The sequence below is a fragment of the Homo sapiens genome, chromosome 1 (genome assembly GCF_000001405.40).
Source record: "Homo sapiens chromosome 1, GRCh38.p14 Primary Assembly".
NCBI lineage: Eukaryota > Metazoa > Chordata > Mammalia > Primates > Hominidae > Homo > Homo sapiens.
In genome coordinates, this window is record NC_000001.11 from 162003489 (window position 1) to 162025182 (window position 21694).

The 21694-nt window shown below is 47.9% G+C and overlaps 1 protein-coding gene across 4 annotated transcripts in view, besides 2 other annotated features; it reads right to left on the bottom strand.

The window, feature by feature from the left end:
- The window catches only part of OLFML2B (olfactomedin like 2B), a 40678-nt gene extending 20297 nt beyond the window's left edge, over window positions 1–20381 (bottom strand). For 3 of the 4 annotated variants that reach the window (NM_015441.3, NM_001297713.2, NM_001347700.2), the window contains exons 1-4: window positions 19769–20381; window positions 16431–16694; window positions 13912–14019; window positions 2809–2985 (exon numbers count right to left, since the gene is read on the bottom strand). In NM_015441.3, the coding sequence (NP_056256.1) occupies window positions 2809–2985; window positions 13912–14019; window positions 16431–16694; window positions 19769–19942 (723 nt within the window). In that variant the 5' untranslated portion in view covers window positions 19943–20381. Of the gene's footprint in view, window positions 1–267; window positions 2436–2808; window positions 2986–13911; window positions 14020–16430; window positions 16695–19768 lie in introns of those variants that run through there. The other variant, XM_011509398.3, reaches the window with a different exon arrangement.
- Window positions 20493–20642: a silencer, noted in NCBI's record as "silent region_1489". NCBI's record gives its function as "represses an Ori minimal core promoter by ATAC-STARR-seq in GM12878 lymphoblastoid cells {active_cell/tissue: GM12878}" and the evidence as "EXISTENCE:reporter gene assay evidence [ECO:0000049][PMID:35858748]".
- Window positions 20711–21005: a silencer, noted in NCBI's record as "tiled region #11962; K562 Repressive DNase matched - State 4:PromP". NCBI's record gives its function as "represses a minimal TATA promoter and a strong SV40 promoter by Sharpr-MPRA in K562 cells {active_cell/tissue: K562}" and the evidence as "EXISTENCE:reporter gene assay evidence [ECO:0000049][PMID:27701403]".

Below are 21694 nucleotides of genomic sequence, written 5' to 3' on the forward strand. Positions count from 1 at the left end.
GCCAGAGAACATATAATTTCCACGGATCCACTGGCGACAGGCTGCACTGGGCGGCAGCGGCCCCCTCCAAGCTTCAATTTCCTTTCTCTATGAATCCAAGTGTCTGCTGTATGACTTCAGCTCCTGGAGTCGAATGTTCCTACTTCCACCTTGCTCTCTCCACTCTCACCCTGCTCTCTCCACTCCCAACCCAGCCCCCAGAGCCCCATGCCAACCCCTCAGGCAAGGACCATCTTAGAGAGAAGCCCTCAACAAATTAACACTCACCATTCCAAGAAAGCTCTGACATTATCTACAGGAACCCTGAAAATGAACAACTAAACCCAGCGCCCCTTCCACCCGCTTTTTGGCATGGGGTTCACAAAAGAGAGGGATGGCAAGATCCTGCCTTGGGGCCTCCGGCACCACTTCCCCTTTCTGCCCCACCACCCTGGTGGGGAAGGATTGTGCTAACTTCAGCAGCCTGATGAATGGGGACTGGAGGAGGGGAAGGGACTTTGCTGAGCAAGGAGAAAAAGGGTTTGGTGTTTTTTATTTGGTTTGCTGTTTGCCCTCAGGAAATCTGAGCTGGGTTCCCGAACATACCACATAATGTGTCATCAAGACAACAGATGCACTCTTAAGCTCAGCCGACTGGGAAACTGGAAGCCAGAGCAGGAAAGGGGCGCCTGGCTCCACTGGGCAGCTGAGCCACCGATGCCAGGTGGGCTGAAATAAGAGACACTGAGCCCAGGTGTAATGAGTGGGAGCCTTCAAGTTCCCTTCCAGCCCAAATGTCTTCTGGCTCCTTGGTTTATGAGCTCATACCCACTCAGAGATGATCCACCAAGCAGACTAAACACTTGCTCAGTAGCCAGCCTGTCAGGGACACCCAAAAATGAGAATCAAAATAATTTCTGAAGAAATATGATATTTCCAAAAAAGCACCAAAGTAGTCATCATGGGCAAAGCCAGAAAATTATTGGCCTTTCTTATATCTATTTTATGGTTTGGAATTTTTATTTTGAGTTACATATTGGGGAGGGTGGAGGCACCATATTCTTCTCAGGGCTTGTTACCTCAAAAGCCCCAATCTGCCTGCAGTCCTGCCTTTGGAACATGTGTGCCCAAGATCCCCAAACCCAGCTGCTGCCTGCCTGGCACCCTTTGATGAACTGCCCTACCCAAGAGTTTCAAGCCCACACACCCAGACTTCCTGCCTCTCTTATCTCAATTCTTAATGGCCCAGGCAACACAGTCCTGCACAGCAATGCTTCCCAAAAGTTCTTCATGTCACAGCATACAGACAGACCAGCTCAGGGACTCTAGCTGTCCCAGGCCCTGCTCAATCCACACTCAGAACGACTCCCCGAAGCCGAGGGGATCCCTCAATGGCCCAACTGGAACCCACTCCCTGGGCACCAGTGTGCCACAACTCTGCCATCTACCATCAACCCCTGGTAACCAGTTAAAATGAGCAAAGTCTCTCTTAAATGCTGCCATCCCCTGGCTGCCCAGTGACCCCTTTTATAACACTTGATCCAGACCCATCTTGCTAATAATGTGTCTTGCTAATAGGACTCTTCAAGTCCTGCCACCAAAACTTACCTGTTTCCTCTTCCTTTTGGATTATCTCCCAAATTAATGCCTATTTCTTGGACAACAATTCAGTAAATAACCCAATACATTAAATGGTAGCACTTAACCATTAGTACATAAACATAACTTAGTAGTAATTGGAGCCAAAAGAAACAGGCACCAAATGGGGAGGCATTTTTAAGCAAGGAGGTCTTTTGGTATCACTCAAATCACATTAGGCAGCAATCCATTCATGGGTAACTTCGTGCTAGGGACACAACTGGGTAGGAAGAAACAGAGGTTTGAGACCCTCTGCCACCACTTCCCAACTGAGAGAGGGAGACCATGCTCATAGCTGGATCTGTTTCCTTATCTGTAAAATGAGGCTATTGATCTCCGTCTGGCCTGCTTTTCTAGAGCTGTGACGACAGCCACATGGTATAGTTATGAAAATATGTAGTAAATTACAAAGTCCCCTATAAATGAGGAGGGATGGAATATAATTTGTTTCCAAACTGGGGCATTTTTTAGAGTAAAAGAGGGTGCTACTAATAACCATGCCAGGGCCAGGTACAGTGGCCCACGCCTGTCATCCCAGTGATTTGGGAGGCTGACGCAGAAGGATTGCTTGTGGCCAGGAGTTCCAGACCAGCCGCATTTACAGAAAATACATAACAAGACCCTGTATTTACAAAAAATAAAAAAATTTTATTACCAGGCATGGTAGCATGTGCCTGTAGTCCTAGCTAATCAGGAGGCTGAGGCAGGAGGATCACTTGAGCCCAGGAATTTGAGGCTGCAGTGAGCTATGATCACAACACTGCACTCCAGCCTTGGTGGCAGAGCTGGAACCTATCAAAAAAAAAAAAAAAAAAAAAAAAAATCATGCCAGGACAGCAGGAGTAAACCAGGATGGTCCCAGACAAGCCAGCATGCATATCTTCCCTATTTACAAACACAAGAGATGTTCACAAAGGTGGGATATCAGATCTTGAAAAAAATGGGGGCTGGGACTCAGACTCAGATTTCAGTCCTGGCTTCAACACTCACTGATCCTCTCTGGGCTTCAGTGTGAAGTAAAATGGAGTCAACTGCTCATCAAATCTACAGAACCTGCAGAACAATTGTATGGATGAAGCGAGCTCATCTCTGTGAAAGGACTGAAGCCTGAAAAGTTCTATGCAGAGGAGAGATGCTGATATCACACTTCCAGGGCTTGTGATCAGAGGCCCTTGGAGGCTGGGGCTATACCTCTGGGTGGGCGTAGGCTGCTGCTGCATCCCTCTGCAGGGCTGAGCGGATGTCTGGCATGCTATCTAGGATGTTTTCAGAGCAATTTTCTTTGCCTCGCTTATTCATCTCGGTTCGAATTTCTTCCATGTCCTCTTTGATTTGTTCATTTTCCTTGGTGAGGTTTTTAGACACTTCCTGAGAAGGAAAAAAAAAAGATGATCCATTAAAGCACCCTGAAGACAAGCAGGAGGCAGCTAGCAGCCATCTTCGCTCAGAGCACACAGACACAACAGACAGGCTGAGAAATCATCCAACAAGTGATTGGGGCTAGAGAGTGTGCCCAGCCCTGGGCTGAGCACCGGTACCAGGTCTCCTGGCAGTATTTCCAGGGCAGCTCAGCGCTTGGATATCCAACTACAGAAAATACTGCCCAAACTACCATAGCTTTTCTATTAATAACATTGACAAGTCTCTGGGCCACCAGGACACCAGGTTCTTTTTCTGTCCTTTGTATATAGTCCACTCTTATCCAGTGTTGAAGAACATTAAAGAATTCCATTCACTCGCATCCCATACATCTGAACCAGTAGCTCAGTTAATGAAAGAGGGGCTTTCTAAGCAATTTTGGAAGAGGTGGCCAAACAAACAAAACAAACAACAACAACAACAACAAAAAACTACTCTGCCTTTTTAGTGAGCACAAACCATTCCCTGGTACTTTAAAAGCATCATTTACATAGAAAATTGATAGGCTGGCTTCAAACTTTCCTATTTACCCATAAAAACAGTTTCACTAAATGACCCCTCACTTGGCAAATTAGCCATGTTCCAGACCTGGTTCATACCAGAGAAGATCAAGGCTACATTTCATTCAACCAACACTGGTGAGTACCTCTTGAGTGTCTAAGTGTAGTGCTACAGAAAGAAAGGCTGTAAGTATCCTTGGGGTTCTGGATCTGGGTGGGGTGGGAGAGATGGCAACTATAACTGGAGACAGACAAACCATGTCAGGTTCTGTAAATACCAAATGTGAGGTTTCCTGAGTTCAGAGCAGGAGGAAAGTGGAGGCGTCCCAGGTAGCTTCCTAGAGAAGTTGAACACTGAATGGGATTTAAATCAAGGAAAGTTGTCGACAGCCTTAGAGGTGCCCCTTTTCCTCTAGTTATTTTTAAAGAGATTTGACTATATTGAGATCCAACTTTGGCCCTCATTCTAAAGTTTCCATGAGCATCTACATTCTTAAATGTGATGTTCTCCTTTGGGCCCTGTTTATGAGGTTGAGGAAGCAATGATGTAAAATAGAGGATGTGTTTGCTTTCCATCTTTCTTTAACAAACAGACACAGGAAGTGTAAAAGCTGACATTGCCAGGCACAGCTCTGCAGCCTGGTGGGATGCTACTAACATCCTAGAGGGAAGTCCCAGTAGTGCAGAGCCAGAGGAGGTGGGCATATCCAGGCTGTGACACCCAGACACCGCGGCTCCAGAGTCTCCTACAGGGGCTGCCCAGAGAAGCCCCATAGGTGCTTGTTAAATGAACCTGGCTCCCGAACCATCAGCCATGCCATTCTTATGGCATTTCATCACATGCCAGATCCTGAGTGCTGGAAGGGCTCAGTGTGTTCCATGGCACTTAGGCTAAGCCAGCCTCTCTAAATTGCACAGAATTAACTGTGAGAGCTAAGTTCCATGAGAAAGAGATCTTGTTTTAAGAATGCTCAGAATGAGTGATCTTCCCGGGTGCGCAGTCACTCCTAGGTGTTATCTATCAGGCCGTCAAGTGTAATGGGTAAGAGCATGGATTTTGAAGGAAACCGGTTCATCCTCCATGCTGCTATTGCTAGATCTGAGATCTCAGGCACATTACTGAAACACCTCTGCTTCAGGTTCCCATCTGTAAAGTGGGGATAATACTAGCACTTTTCCTATGGGTTGTTAGGAGGATTAAGTGAGTTAATATATATGGATGTGCATGAAACATACCGGACTAAGTGGCTGCTATTTTTCATATAATGTTACAGCTGGAATGGACCCAAGAACTCATGACTAACCTCTCATTTCACAGAGAGGAAACTGAGGCCCAGAGCAAGAATGTGACTTGCTCAAGGTCACTACAAAAAAGTGGCAGAGTGGAACCAGCACCCAGCCTCCTGGCCCTTGCTTCTTCAGCTCACCTGCTGGATCACTAAGAACACCAGGAGAGGATCCCGGCACACAGACAGCTCTCAGCAGCACCAAGCATGTCAAAAAGCCGGAGAATACTTACAGTTTGGGTTCAGGATACATGACAGGATATGCATAGATGCTGAGAAATACAGAAATGTTGGACTCTCATAAATCCTCACTATTCAAAGTGTGGTGCAGAGTTCAGCAGCATCAGCATCACACAGGAGCTTGTTAAAACTGCAGATTCCCAGGCCCACTCAGACCTGCTGAATCAGTATCTGTATTTTAACAAGATCCCCAGATACTCTGTGTACACATTAAAGTTTGAGAAGCACCGCCCTAAGTGGAGAAAGCTTGGGGCACAGCTGCTTGAAAAACGGACAGAAATGTGTGAGAAGGGCTGTTTTATAGGAGCTGAGTTCTTTCTGGGACTGACGGGAAAAGTTCCTGGCCCCTTAGTGGGATTCAAGCATTTCTGTAATCCATCAGCACCTGCTGAGAGCAACACCTGTGGATGCCCCTCCTGTAGCTCTCACAGCCTAAGACAGATCACCAAGCCCAGCAGGTGCAGGGATTCAATGTGTTACCTTTTTATTAAGGCGTTCACGTGCTCAGTGCTGCACTGAGGGTTCAAGCGTGAGCAAGGCCACTGGGATCCTGCCCTGGTGAAGGGCACCCTCCATGAGGGGGAAGTAGGCAATAGACAAAGAAATAGACAAGAAAATATCAACTAGTGAAAAGTGCTCTGCAGAAACTCTGCCAGGGTGATGTGACAGATGCACGCACTGACTCCTCAGCCAGGTCGATAGGCTTCTCTGAGGAGCGGACTGAGGAGTGTCCACACCTGCGGCCCAGCTCTGGCCCTAGGACTCTACTAAAGGTGGTGACACCTCTGGGTGGACTGACTGGCTGGGCCTAAGTATCCTTATTATTTGACGGAAGATCTCACTAGATTCCTAAACACTGTGCATCAGTGGGTGTGGCACACTCACTGTGAGGCAAAGGGTGCCCCCCCAACCCCGGTCTTAGGGTTTCTAGGGCCCTAGGGAGTCCCCCTTCACATTGATTTATAGTCTCCCATCCCCTTTTGGGTGTCAGTGAGGAGCCATTATTCTGCATTTCCACAGATGAGGGTTTTAGGCAAGCCTGCCCCTGAGAACCCAGAGAAGCAGTACAGTTTATTCCCCTCACGGGAATGGCAAAGCCTGCCAGCCGCCTGAATAAACAAGAGGCTGGCGGTGGCATCACCCCATTGGCCTGCAGGGCTCAGCCAGCTGGTGTCCCCCAGGGCAGCAGCCACAGCTGCCCCTCCTTGGCCACCCCCAGTCAGCCACCTCCAACCTGGGGGTGCTGGCCCTCAAGAGCTCCCCACCTCTCCCTGGGACTCTGCGCTTCTCACACCAAAGGCCTTTGGTGAGGCGATTCTCAGGAGATGCAGGGGATGCCACCTGCACAGGGTACCCTCGATTCTGCCCTGGGAAATAGGTGAACCCCATGACCTCATGCCTCAGGCTCTTCCCCCTGGGACAGCTGCAACCATGACATTTCTGGTGTGTGCAACTTGGCTCGTGGGCAGTGCTGGCAATGTGGCGGCAGAGGTGGGAATCGTGCCTATCTGGCAGAAGCAAGTGTACCCATGGCCCCTGCCAAGGATCCTGGCACACTGAAGAAGAGGGAAGGGAAGAGGGAGAAAGAGCAGACAGATAGAGGGCTCAGACAGAAGGCTGGACACAGCCAACTGTGGCAATGAAAGATTTGGGAACGTTGTCATCATGATTCCTTGGGCCAGGCAGAGCCAAGGAACTCAGAGGTGTTCATAGAACAAGTGCCATGTGCAGGAGAGGTATGCAGTTGGGCACTGGAGGGTGCCTGATGGGAACAGGTGTCCACTGGTGCCACACTGCCAGATGGGAACAGGTGTCCACTGCTAACTTCAGCCAGATGCACACACACCAGAGGGAAGAGAACGTGCAAACAAGGCAGGGACCCTTGGCAAAGGGGAACCGGATGCAGGTGGAGTTAGGGGTACAGCCATCAGTCAGCCCTAGTCAGCATGGCTGGTGTTTTGACAAGCCATGTAGGGCCAGCACAACCAGATGTGTAGACCGATGGAATGGGTATGAAGGACACAGACCGTATCCTGACCTTGTCCAGCTCTTAGACACGTGTGCGTGTGCCCGGGTGAGACCGTGTAGTATCTTAAGCCAAAACCTTGGGACCAGGGGAAAGATGACCATGGGGCAGAATTCTGGCAGTTCTCTGTGGTCTCGTTTTTACAAATAGAACCAGGGACAGGGGTGTGGTCGGGGGAGGGTGCTGGCTCTGGAGATCAGGTGTAAACCCACACCACAGTCATGGCCTACTTATATAACCACATAGGGCAAGGGATGAAACCTCTCTAGGCCCCAGGCAGGAAAAGAAGGAATGATGACACCTACCTCACCCAAGCTTGGCACAGAGATGGATAAGGGGCTGCATGTGGTACAGTGCTGGGCAAGGAAATCAGGCTTGAGGCATGTGGGTGAAGCTGGAGTGGGAGGGACCCTTGGGGTCTCCATAGCAGACATGCAGGTGGAAAAGGAAAGGGAAGCCAGGGTTTGGTATGGCTGGCATGGGGAGGAAGGTAAGAACCCAAGGCTGGTGTGCTGTAGAGAGACACACTAGACACCTGTGGGAGTAGACAAAGCCAGACTGCAGGTGAGGCAAACCCTGGCCCCAAGTCACACAGCAGGTGCACACAGCCATATCTAAGGAGGCTGCCTGGGAGGCTGCCTGGTAGGTCCTGTGGGCATCAGGATTCCCTGGCAGATAGCTGGATGCGCACAGGGCTAAGATACAGATGGCAAGCCCAAGGGCAGATGGGACATAGTTTCTCATGGGAGTGACCTGAGCAAGTGTGAGGGTAACTGGACCCAAGGGGGGAGGGCTCGTAGTTCCCATCAGCTCACCGTGCTCAACCTTTGCACCCTCCAGGAGACAGCTACGACCAGATGGCCTGGGACAGCAACCCCAGCTGACAGCTGTCTCCTAGCCCCTGGTAAGAGAGCTGGGGAAGAGAACAGCTGGAAACAGCCGGTGCTCCTGATGGCAGGACAGGCAGGCCATGGCCTAATCCCTCCGACCACAGCTGATGGGAGAGACAGGCAGGCCTGGGTTCAGGGAGCCACCAGCTGCCCCATTGAACATTCATCCAACCAAACAGCTGTGGAGCATCTGTCCCACATCAGGTGCTGGACCAGGGCCTGGGAAACAAAGATGACTTGACCCAGCTTGCCCTTAAGAAGTCCAGGGCCTGGCAGGAAAGTCAAACAAGGCAACAGCAAGAAGACCCAGGCCTCTGGTGATGAATTTCTATATTAGGGTAATCTTACCCCTTAAAATAGAGCCACTCGAGCCATGCACACTTGCACATCCTGGCAGCTCTAAACTGTTCCTAGGCCGACGGATGGAGGGCTGACACTCGCACTGTAAGTCTCTTCAGCCAAGAAGAAAACTTTATATCCCACAATTGCAAATTAGATTTGAAGTATATACAACCCTGGGAGAGGTAATATATTGGCTTTAACTCATATTAAGATGTAAATTGAATTAAATAGTGTTAGGCTGAAATATATTTTAGAAACACTAACTTCGACCCTCTGCCTTTTCACGTATAAGGACACTGAAGTCAGGCCGGGTAAGCAGTGCCCCTCTCCAAGCCTTCACTTGAGGAAGAAGAGTGAAATGACTTACAGCAAACCCCTCGGAAAGAGCAGATTTGATCAGGAGAGTGAGCCCTGGGGGTGTCTCGACAGGGGTGGAGGGTGGAAGGAAAGGTAGGGCTTGGAAAGAGACAGCTCCCCCAACTCACAGCCAAGTCTGCACAGATGAAAATTACGTTTTCCTATTAGCTGGTGAAACGATATATCCCCCAGGGTCAGGAATGCTTCTTTGATCATGCCTTTCAGTCCAGAAACACAAAAGCCACCAAAGCTTTAGGTGTGGGGGAGAAGCCCTCAGCAATGCCTGTGCCAGTACATTCTGGGGAGCGGACCAGTTCTGGGTCTGGTAAATCCATCGTGGACTTAAATCTTCCTCGGAGGCAACATTATCAGGAGAAAAGTCTTCAGCTGGGACACAAGGTTCCCTCGTGCCATCTATGCTCATGGGTGTGGTTTGCAAATTCCAGCAGGTAGATTCGTGAAAAAGGAAAGAGATACACACACCAGAAGGGACAAAGCAGAAACCACGCTATGGAAAGCTTGCAGGCATGCATCTATTTTAAGAGCATGGGCTATGCACCCACACATATACAAAGGCACATGTGTACATAAGCATTTCAAGCACTTATAAACACTTACAGGTATCCTGCAGCAAGGTGGGGGTGGGACATTTCTTCATAAAATTTGCAAATTTTACAGAAATGACTGAAACCAACTAAAGCCTTGATGCTAGAAGATTATTATAATGATCTGTCCCTCTGTTTGTCTTTTTCTCCACTTTAGTAATAAATCTGCCCCTGGAAGCAGTATGTGCTGCTAGGGGTTGAACACCATGCCTCTAGTCCTGCTGCCTTCAGAATCCACCTTTAGGCCTGGCAGCCTACAAGTCTATGGGTCTCTGAGTGCACTCAGAGCCCGGATGAAGTCTTTTCTTGAGCTGAGTGAGTGCCACTGCCAGCTCTGTATGCAATGAACAGGGCTTGCCTTTGCCTTTGGAAGTTACAGGTTTTCTTTCTAGACTTTTAACTCCTATCTCTTCAGATACTTATGTTCTGTGCCCACCCACCCCTCAACTCCAACATGTACCTACACTTCCTGCATGCCCTTCCCCTTCCCAGCCACTCACAGGAAGGAGAGGTCAGCTGGGGTCTATGTTGGACTGCTGACCACCTTGAGTGTTTCTTATTCCTGGAGCAGTTTTAAAACTGGTTTATGAGGTTTCAGACCTCCCCCAGTGAACTGGAAAGATATTTTTGGAGTTAAGTTTCTAGAACACAGTGAAATGACCCTACTAAGTTATAGCCTCCAAATTGACAAAAACTAGAAAGTCTGACAATACCAAGTGTTGGTGAGGATGTGTGCAGAACTTTTATACCCTGCTGGAGGCAATGTAAACTTATACTACCACTTTGGAAAACAGTTTGGCAATATCTCCTGAAGTTGAAGATAAGCATAACTAATGCTTATCTTCTAGTTCCACTTATCTAATGTACCATAGAGAAATGCAGGCACACATGCACCAGGGTACATGCACAGGGATGTTCATGTATAGGAATGTCCATAGGGCTATTCTGATTTACGCATTCAGAAACTGGAAACAATCCACATACCCATCATCAGGAGAACAGATAAATTGTAGTATATTCATACAATAGAATACTACACAGCAATAAAAATGAATGAACCACAAGACACAAAAACAACATAGGTAAATATTAAAAATATAAAGTTGAGTGAAAAAAGCCCAACACACACACACACACACACACACACACACACACACACACACACACACTTCTGTAGGATTCTATGTATTTAACATTCAAAAAAGGCAAAACTATTACATTTAGGGATGCGTCCTTAAACGATGAAACTATAAAGAAAAACAAGGAAAATGATTAACATAAAAGTAAGGATAAAGGTTCCCCTGAGGGAAGGGTATGAGTAGGAGAGAGCATATGGGGGCCTTTTGGGGTATTAAAATTGGTCTGTTTCTTGAGCTGGTTGGTGGTTACACAGGCATTTTGTTCATGGTAATTTGTTAAACTATATTCATTGTTTATACACTTTTCTATGCATGTGTCGTTTTTCAGTATTTAAAACAAAAGCTTACCCAAAATCATTCCACTAAGCAGAGCTGCTCCCAGAGCTGATTTTACCAAAAGGTAAACTCAAAATAGTTCAGATTCCATTTCTCTCTCCTTCCTTCCTCTTTCATCTGCAAATGAAGTTTCCATTCCTACCTCCTCCTATATACCCAAGGTGGAACTGTGGCTATATCCCATAAATGTGTGCTTGCTTATACTGCCAACCATTGATCTTACTCTGGGCAAAATGCCTCTCCAATCTGACCCCTTTTTTGTCTTGTCTGACCTCCAAAGAGCTCCCATTGGGATTCAAGAATATTCAAGGACCAGGAGCAGAATTTAACTTCCATTCCTCCTGCAGAACCGAGCTGGAGAGGGAGTGTTTTTTCAATTTACCCAACATTCTGCCTTTTCAATTACTGCAGACTCCAGACAGTCAGCTGGCATGAGCCTTGAGACAAACTCAAACAAATACAGTGCTCCACTATTTGGGCACAGGGGCCCAGACCCATCTGAAGACTACTGTCACACTTCAGCACCCTATCACCTTAGGCTGTCTGGTTTGGGGAAACCTCCTTCCCGAACTCAACTTTAATCCTATTTAATGGGTCTATGGGATAGAGTCACAGTTCTGCCTAGAAATTCCCCTGGAAGAGCTATTGTTTGAAGTTCCTGTTAAGAAAAACTGATGCTTGCAGGACAGATGGCAATGATTTGAAGAAACTTACGGGGTTGATTAGAAAGAGCCCTGGACCAGGAACCAGAAGGCCCTGTACTTCCTAGCACTGTGATCTTGGTCAAGTCATCTAATTTCCTTGGCTCTCACATTACCCAGGAACAAATGGGCTAAATGTATACAGAATGCTTTACAAAACGTAATATGCTATACAAATGTAAGGGATTATTATTATTAAGGTCCAATCTTTGCTACTAAACATATCACAGCTTTGGCAAGCAGATACTCTCATTGATGTAACTAAAACTGTTTTTTGCAAAAACGAGGTTACTGTGTGACTGTATAGACGATACCACCCTGCTGGGGCACTGGTATTGCATCAAATTCACCCATACTCCCTCCTGAGCAGGGAGGGCTCAGCTGCTAGACAAGGCTGTAACAAGACTGTGGTCCTTGGACAAGCCCAGCCCACTGGCCTTCTCAGAGGCTGAGTACCTGACCTTGGCCTCCAGAGCACTGTACTCTCCCTCCAGATCTATCTTTCTCAAGCTGTGTTCTCCAGGCAGAATGGCAACTGTTTGGCTGCCAAGGTCAGGTAAAAGCAGAAGAGGTTGCTGTCGCTCCTGTTCCTATAGAAGAGCAATCCTTTTCTTAAAGGGGCATTGCACATTTGGATGGTTCTGGGGGCCTAGGAAAACAGAGGCACTTCCCAATATTGGACCTTGGTTTAATTCCTTTTGAATGTATCTGAAAGAACCAGAAAGTGGTTTTAACTAGGAGGAAGAGTCCGAAGCCTGCATGAAGTCCATTAGTAGTGGGATGGTGCTGACCATCCACAATGTCATCATTTTGGCTGTTAACATTGAGGAAGGAGAGACTCAAGATGCCCAGGGTCCTAGTTCTTTGAGAGAACCCCTTGAAGAGAGTGGCAGACAGCGAGGAGGAGGCTGATGCGGTTCTGTTGGCCACTCTGATCTGTGTACAAATCTCAGGATCCAAAACCCTGACCCCTCTCATCAGACCTCATATCTGATGTGATTAAGGACCTACCAACCCTCCCAGAGCCAACAGCCTTATTCAGAAAACATCTCATCATAGCATTGGAGGAGCTAAGCCCAAGGGCGGGTGGAAAAGGAACTAGTGTTCACTTTCCGGGAAAATTTTAAGGGGTGGAAGGAGTGTGTTGAAACTAATCCTTGTAACTTCAGTGTTTCATCATCTTTGTGCCAGCTATCCTGGCAAAGTAATGTAGGAATGTTTGTCCTCAATCTCTCCATGGTCAGAGCCTTGTTTAATTTAACCATTTCAAAGCATTTTCATACTGATTAGCATACTTTGTATCCTCTCAGCAATCATATGGAGTAGGCAGGGTACTATTCTCACTGTCCAGATGGAGAAGGTAGGACATGGCTGCTTGGCAGCACAAACAAAGAGTAAGGAACTCATTCTGTCCTGACTCCAAGCCTGCTGCTCTTTCTGCCACAAACCGCTACATCTACTAATCATAGATCGAAGAACCTTAGCTCTTTCATGATAGCCCCCCAAAAGTCCACTTTTTCATAAGGAATATTGATATGTTTACAGTCATTGTGTTATTAAATTTGCCACTTACAGTAATGCTGTAAACATTAAAGAAATAGATTTCCACTCAGAGCAGCAGCTCTTTGAGTCACTGTTTCAAGTTATCAGTCCAAGAACCAGGTGCGAGTCAATGAAACATATCCATAAAGTTCCTTACCAATAAGATTGAATAATGATCGTTAGTTACTTTTTGGGTGACTACATGATTTCTCATCTATATGTTAAGGCATCACAGCAACAAGCACTGTCAACATTATTACAGTATCTGTAACAACTCCCAGCTCCCTTCACACACCACTAGATGAAAACCACAGCACCACCTGTACCACTCCCAGAGCCCAGTCAGAATAGTATGGTGTCTTTGTCTATGAAAATTGCATGACTCGTCCATTCATTCTGGGCATGACCAGCCTGAATGCTGAGTAGGGAACATTACTTATTAGTAATCATTTTTATGTCTTCTTCCTCTAAAATGAATTTCAGATGGATTCACACACATAAATACAGGGGTATGCACCAGAACAGTTAAGAGAAATTAGGAACCATATACAAAGGAAGGAGATGACTCCACCTTAAAACTGGAGGTAAGATGCTTATTGTACCTTTACATTTCATTGAGTTCTGAGGTCCCTGGAAGTCAAGGTAAAAATGGAAAGACATTGGTTATATGATTAAGGGGATTTTATGAAAAAAAGAAGGTACAGTATTGGCATTTCTACTTAACTGATTTTCTTTGTCACCAACAATTTGGCATAATTTTGAATGAATCTTTTATGTATATTTTCCCTTTCATAGAATAGGATGGGTTAAGTCTAGTCAGCACATGTGCTAGCTGAAAATTTACTGTGGGACGTTTGATATGCTTTTGGGCTCAATCAAGAAAAAGATATAGAAACCAGAATCTTCCTTACCTCCTCCAGTTTATCCACTCGCCCCACCAGTTTGGTGGTGACTGAATGTAGCTTCAGGAGATCCAGGCCATAGAACGCTCCTTCCAACATGTCTATGATTGTGGAGAGCTATGAAACAAGGCAAGGGGTTAGTCCAGGGCTGGGGCACACAGACACAGGGCAGAGTTTCCTTTCAGATCTGCATACTGGGGGCTCGACAGGAAAGCCACTAGCCAGGAATTGAGAGGTTGCCGTGAGAAACACATTTGTGTAGACAGGGATGTAGGCAAGCACAATGGTGTATGTGCATTCTGCCTTCCGAAATGTTTGGGTAAGAAAATGGGAGAGTCCTACAAGAACAAGTAAACCTGAGGTCTAGACCTCTTCACAAACTGTTTATACCTCTTTTATGAAATCTGTCAGTTGCATTGACATCTGTCTTTCCTACTAGACTGTGAGCTCCTTGAAAGTAGTGTCTCAATAGCAAAGACATGGAATCAGCCTAAATGCACATCAATGACAGGCTGGGTAAAGAAAATGCAGTATGTATATACCATGGAATACTATGCAGCCATGAAAAAAATGAGATCATGTCTTTTATGGGAACATGGATGGAGCTGGAGGCCATTATCCTTAGCAAACTAACACAGGAACAGAAAACCAAATACCACATGTTCTCACTTATAGGTGGGAGCTAAACAATGAGAACTCAAAGACACAAAGAAGGGAATAACAGATGCTAAGGGCTGCCTGATGGTGGAGGGTAGGAAGAGGGAGAGGAGCAGAAAAAATAACTATTAGGTACTAGGCTTAGTAGCTGGGTGACAAAATAATCTGTACAACAAACTCCCATGACGTGAGTTTACCTCTATAACAAACCTGCACATGTACCCCTGAACCTAAAATACAAGTTAAAAAAAGAAAACAAGCAAGCAGTGTCTCTGTATCCTTCATCTCTGTTTCCCCAAGATAGCTGGCTCATAACAGGTATTTTTATTCTATAAATACTCAACAAGGTGGCTCTACATGTCAATACCCTGAGGATGTGCTTCTGAAACACTCAATTTCATTGTCTACTAAAGGCTCTGAAAGACATCGACAGGTTCTCCTTAGCACAAAGTGCTAAACTGACCCTGGGCTAAAAGAGGACTCAGCGTCCCATCTTTGAGACTCTTGCTCTATGGCAAGCTGCCACAGTGCACCCAGCCTTCTCAGTTTTTATCAATACCATCCTGCCTGCCAGTACAGAGGCCCTGGCAGGAAGGTGGCCGAGGCTCTGGCGGCACTGAGGGCATGCAGACTGCAGGGTAAGAGGGAAGATGATGAGGGCCAGTTCTTGGAAGTTTACTGGGCCACACTTTTGCAATCTACACTCCCCATTTATCTCAGAGCCTAGCTTCTACATGAAGAAGTCCAAGTATGAAATACTCATGTTTAGAAGGTAAACTCCTTTCTCCCTACCAGAGGAAGAGAGCTGAATCCTGGATAGAAGCCATAAAAAGATAGCTGGCTCTTAGTATGTACTGTGATAATTTCCTGATTTCTAATAGACATTTTGCCTTATAGTGTTCCAGAATTCCCCCAGAGTCTAATCCTACAACTGAGTGAGTGTGGCACTTGGTTCAGAAAGTTGTTCCATGGCAGAGCTGCGGCTCTGGCCAAATCCTGAGATACTCCTGATATTGGTAAACACTACTCTGCTGAAAGAGACACTAATGATTACTAGTCACTGAGTGAGTGCCAGATGCCAGCAGCGCTTTACATAGTCATCCATTCATTCATTTACATGGTCATGCCTAGCTGAATGTCTGGTATCGTGCCAAGTACCTCCTAGTTGTTATCTCATTACTCCACCAAGTAGATGTTATTATTACCACATGTTATTCAAGGAGCTGGAAGGCAGACAAGTTAAATAACTTAAGTGGGATCACACTGCTATGATTTGAACCCAAGTCTGTCTGACTCCAAAACCCAGCTTGTTCCACTACCCCACGCTGCAAGGGAAGAGGGGGTGCAGGATCAGAAGCCCTCAGCCAACCCATGGGGCTGCCTAAGTGGGGCCTGAGCTTCCCTACCCTAAGGACCATTATAGGATCACAGTTTGATGACCCAATCTAGAGCAGGCCCCCGGCCTCTCCTTCCCTAGGCCAACCCAGCCCTTGTGCTAAGGGCCAAAGCCTTACTCGCATTTTTCTTTTGCCTCTTTGGGGTGTGTGCTAGGCTGATAGTAAATTGTGGCAGCAATTTTCTTGAAGAACGCTGAGTTCTTTTGGCCAGCTGGGCCTGGCAGCTGCTCCCAGGCCCAGCCTCTCTGGCTCCATAAGGAGGGGTAGGCACACTTTGCTTTAAGCATCTCCCTTATACACCAGAGCTGAAAAGGACAAGTTTGCTAGGACATCAACCTTGATCCACACACAGCACTCTAGGGAACAGGCCTGACCTTCTTCAAAGGGCTTAGAATCTTCAACCATGGCCTTACCAGACTTGTGGATCTCAAAAGTGCCCTCTCGTCCAAGGCATTGCCCCATACCAGGTCCTACCTTCAAGTCCTGGCTGTCTGCCTCCCGCAGCTTCTGGAGCCTGAAGTCTCCCTCGCAGGGATTGAGGGCCGATGGGGGTGCTACACAGGCACACTTGCACGACGAGCCTGAGGTGATGGTTTCCACGGTATAGAAGTCTTCCTTCCTGGAGGCCCCCGCATTGATCCTCTGGCAGGCATCCCGGCCCAGGGGTCTCACCACACACTTGCACTGACAGTCCGAGCCCTCAGACATAGCCTTGACCTTGTCATAGTCCCCCAGCAACTAGACACACAGAAAACGGGTTAGGGGCATGCAAACACAGGTGTCAGTCAGCCTCCAGAAGGAGGCTCTCCATTTACTTAGTCAAATGTCCTGCACTAGTCAGAGACCTCAGAAAACTCTGAACCACAGAGCCAATAGGTCACTGAGATGCAGTTTGCTGACTCTGACATTTCCTTGAAGGCATTCAGAGTTCAGCTCTCTTCGTTTGTCTTGGAAAGCTGTGCCTTTCTCATGGGGCCTTAGCCTTTCATTATTTAAAGGAAAAACCAGATGAGCCAAGTCATTTGTCCAATAGCCTTTGCCTTCTGCTACAATCCAGGTTTAGGCTTTCTTTTCTTTCTTTCTTTTTCTTTTTTTTTTTTGAGACAGAGTCTCACTCTGTTGCCCAGACTGGAGTGCAGTGGCATGATCTCAGCTCACTGCAACCTCCACCTCCCAGGTTCAAGTGATTCTCCTGCCTCAGCCTTCCAAGTAGCTGGGATTATAGGCACATGCTACCATGCCCAGCTAATTTTGTATTTTCAGTTTCACCATGTTTGCCAGGCTGGTCTTGAACTCCTGACCCTAAGTGATCCACCTGCCCCGGCCTCCCAAAGTGCTGGGATTACAGGCGTGAGACACCGCACCCAATCAGAATCCAGGTTTAAGTGTAAAAAGGAAAAGAAGAAATTGGAGAGATTGAAAAGTTGGTATTCAAGTTTGAAGACTACTGGCATCTCTCATTCATTTATTCAACATTTATGGAGTGCCTACTAAGGACTGTGAGGTGCTGTGAAGGATAAAGAGATGGGCCAGATGGAGAGCCTGCTCTCAAGAAGCCTACAGTGCAGGAGGCATAGAAATAGCAGTCACACAGAGTACAGAGTGATAAGTGCCCCCGAAGAGGCAGAGGGAAAGGGCAGTGGGAGCTAAGAGCGGCTCCAACTGGAAGCCAGGGAAGACTTCTTCGAGGAGTGGCATTTAATCTGGGCCTTGAAGGATGGGTTAGATGTGGAGAAAGGGAATTGAGAGGAAAGAGGCAGGTCCAGAAGTTAGTAAGGTTTACTCAGTCTAAGAGTTCATGCTTCTGAACCTAAACCCCAGGCCAAACCCAGGAAAGCAAACTGGCAGCACTTGCTGCTTTTGCAATGCTAAACATTTCCTTCTGGGCACTTGCCCCTGCCAGCCTCCCCAGGCAGGAAAACACGCGACAGTAGGCTTTCTGGAGCCCCAACTCTGGGCGCTTGCTGGGAAAAGGCTCTTCTCTCCCAATCCTCTCCAAAAGGCCCTACATCCCCAAAGCCAGGGCTCCCTTCCTAGGCAGGCAGAAGGGTTCCCTTCATTTGATTAATGATTTCAGTGGGCAAGCATTGAGCTTGTTTGAGTAGAAATGTTCCTTGGGATGCTGTCTGGGGGAAGAAGACTTGTAATGTTTTCCTTGCAAAGATTGGGTTTCTTCTAATACTAATATTTGCTTTAGGGCTGTTGTCAAACACAGAATGGATCAGTGGAAGAAGGTGGTGTAGTTAAGGGTGACTTAAGCGGCTGTTCTTTACGGGCTGATAGTAAATTGTGGCTGTCTGCTCTCTGAAACTCTGCCTGGATTCCTACATAACCCTGCTCTGAGAACCCTGGGTGGATTCCTTCCTTACAGGAGGCTCGGGTTTCAGGAAAGTTTTTGTTGATAGTGTTCCAGAGCCCCAGTGTGAGAGATTTTTATGTCTTTTCGATTTAGGGGTCAGTGGGAGGTAATGGGGGGGCAGAGGGCATACATTAGCATCATTATTAAAGGAAGAGTGAGGAGGCTAGTGTTTGATAAATCCCAAAGTGCAGCTGATTATTCTCTCTACAGGAAGGAGACAAGGCCCAGTCCTAGGGCTTGGTGGAGGTGAAGGTACAGGCAGCCCTGGAGGATCCTTTTTCAGACATCCCCCATTCTGAGGATTCTGGTGACACCCACCACACGTCATCATGCCGGCTCTGGAGAGCACAAAATAAACACTCCAGAGAGAACTACCCCTTACAGACATGAGATCTGGGCTGAAGACTGTCAGACGCCCTGGCTCTACCCATGTATCTCTTCTTTTTTTTTTTTTTTTTTTTTTTTGAGACGGAGTCTCACTCTGTCACTCAGGATGGAGTGCAGTGGCGCGATCTCCGCTTACTGCAACCTCCACCTCCCGGGTTCAAGCGATTCTCCTGCCTCAGCCTCCTGAGTAGCTGGGACTACAGGTGCCTGCCACCACGCCTGGCTAATTTTGGTATTTTTAGTAGAGATGGGGTTTCATCATATTGGCCAGGCTGCTCTTGAACTCCTGACCTCGTGATCTGCCCGCCTCGGCCTCCCAAAGTGCTGGGATTACAGGCGTGAGCCACCGCGCCCGGCCTACCCATGTATCTCTTATGGTCTTTATCTATAAATGGGTATTAGGGTGTTTTGAAGATTGAGTCAGAAAAAACAAGTTTAAGTACTTGGTAAACGGACACTTTACGAAGCCCATCACTATCATGGGTTACTCGGGCCCCCACTGACAGTCTGCCCTAGCTGCCTGCATCTGCATTCCCACTCTCCCCTCCCAGTACACTCCGTCATGTTCTCAGTCTCTCTGTTTGGGGGTCACCTCACATTCATCACACATGCTTCTGTTCTGACTTCACCCCATGCTCCCGCCTGGTGTCCCACCCTCTGCCATAAAGTATCTCCCGATGGGATATGCCATCTGCCTCCTGGTCAACATATCCGGCTGTTTTCACATTCCAATTCTGACAGACAGCCACATAGACAAGAGATACTTTTTACAACCCTGAAACCAAAAACAACTTTGTTTTCTTTCTTCTCAAGAAGTCGAGCGGCATCTTCCCTTCCTTCACCTCTCCTTTCTCCTGATTTGATGACCTTTAAGCACCCTATGATTTTGCGAGGAGAACCTATATCCTTCCATTAAGAAAATATTCCGATACATGAAAAATCAAAAGCCCTTTCCATTGGTAATGGAAGGAAAAACAGCTGCCCTCAAACACTTCAGCAAGGACCAGCTTCTGGCTCTCACCACCATCCAGGGCAAGAAGGGCGGTCGTGGCACTCTGCATCCTACCTGAGATAAAACGTTCTCCTGGTTGTCCGCCTCGTTTTGCAGAGTCTCGTCCTCCGCAGGCGCCACTGTCTGCGCATCTGGGGGCTCGCTTGTCCCTGTGAGGACAATGCTGGACACCCAGGCCGGAACCACAATCAGAGCGAAGTAGAGAACTAGCAGCCGAGGCTTGGCCATGAGGGGCGCGATAAGAGTGTCCTCAGCCCCTTCAGAGAATGGCTGGGGCGGGGGGTCTCGGCAAGGACTTCTGCGAGAGGGTGTCCTCGCTAGAGCCCGAAAGTGGCTGCTGAGAGCACCTTCTAAAGCTGGGTGCGGCTGAGCGGGACGGGAGGGTGCGCCCCAGAGACTCTGGGCATCTCCTTCCCGACGCGAGCAGCCCTCGACTGTGCAGCCCCAGTGGAGAGCCGGACGCAAGGAAGAGGGGATGACGGAGAAGGTGGAGGCGGGCACGGGCTAGCTGAGCGAGTCGCCCGCAGGAGGGCTCAGGTGGCTGGAAGGCGTTCGGACAGACGCCCGCGGTGCGCGCCGGGACGGGCGGCGGGGAGCCTCGGGACGCACGGGGACCGGACACGGGGAGGGAAGAGGCGGTGGCGGCGCGGGCTGCTGGGCGAGGGCTGCTGGGCTAGGGAGCCGCGGAGAGCTCGCGCGGAAGGAGGGCGGAGCCTCTATTGTGCCGGGGCGGCGGAGATGCAGCCAGTGACCGCGCGGAGGAGGAGGACCTGGAAGCGCACAGGGCTCGGGCGGAGGGGTACCCGGCGGACCCCGTCCCCGCTGGGACTCAGCTGCCGCGCGCCGGCTGAGGGTGACGTTGGAAGGGCTTTACTTTCTTCTCATCTGATCGCAAGTGAGTGAAGAGAAGTTACTCCGAGCGGCGTCCCTGAAGTTTTGGGGTTCGACCATTCTTGGCGAGAAGAGCGACTTTCCATCGCAGGCACCCAGCGCTCGCTCCAAGGCTGAGCTAGTTAGGGATCTGCGGCATCGTCCTTTAGCACACCTGGGGCAGGGGAGAAGGCGCGTTTGTTCCCAGGCGTTTCTTTTCCCTGACTTAACTCTGGGCGAGTTCTCGGGCAGCTTTGAACTTAGCGCCGTTGGTAGCTGCTTGCCTGCCACGGCTTTAGAACCTAGTAATACCTCCACCCAGAGGAAAATCATTGAATTCCTTCCTAGAGTGTGTCCTGAGTTGTGTAAACGTTGAAAGTTAGGGGAATGACTGTACATCTCCGACACTCTCCGCGAGTCCCCATGGGGAAAGCTACTGCCTGATAAATGATTACCAAAGGGAACAGCTCTTCCTGTCTTCCTGGTTTGGGACAAATCTCCGGGTCTCTGTTACCAGATTATCTCTAAGAGGGAGTCCACTTTCAATAGTGTGCAATTATGTTACTATGTCCCTCAATTACTGAGGACAACCTTTTATAAACCTACAGTGAAGATTACCAATATGTGAATTTAAGGAAGGGCACTGTGCCATCCTGGACAACTGTCACTCGGAATATTGAACAGAGCCAGGCCCCTTCAAAGGATATTATGCACCCTTGGGAAATTCAAACACCTTGCTTCTTATGCTGAGGAATAAGGGTTGTAATAAACTAAGGAAACTAGCGCATATAAGTAATAGTTGACATAAGTATAATAATAACCCTTATTAGTATATTTTAATCTTCAAAAAATTCAGTTTATGGACAAAAATTCAATGCTCTGGGTGTCTAGGTTTGTGGGGACATCATGCACACACCCTCCTCTGTGTAAGCTATCAAATCTTTTCTGAAACTATATGGGGGTAAACATTGATAAAATGTGGTGTATTTGATTGTTTGTTTGAGACAGAGTCTTGCTCTGCCACCCAGGCTGGAGTGCAGTGGCGGGATGATCTTGGCTCACTGCAACCTCCGCCTCCTGGGTTCAAGTGATTCTCGTGCCTCGACCTTC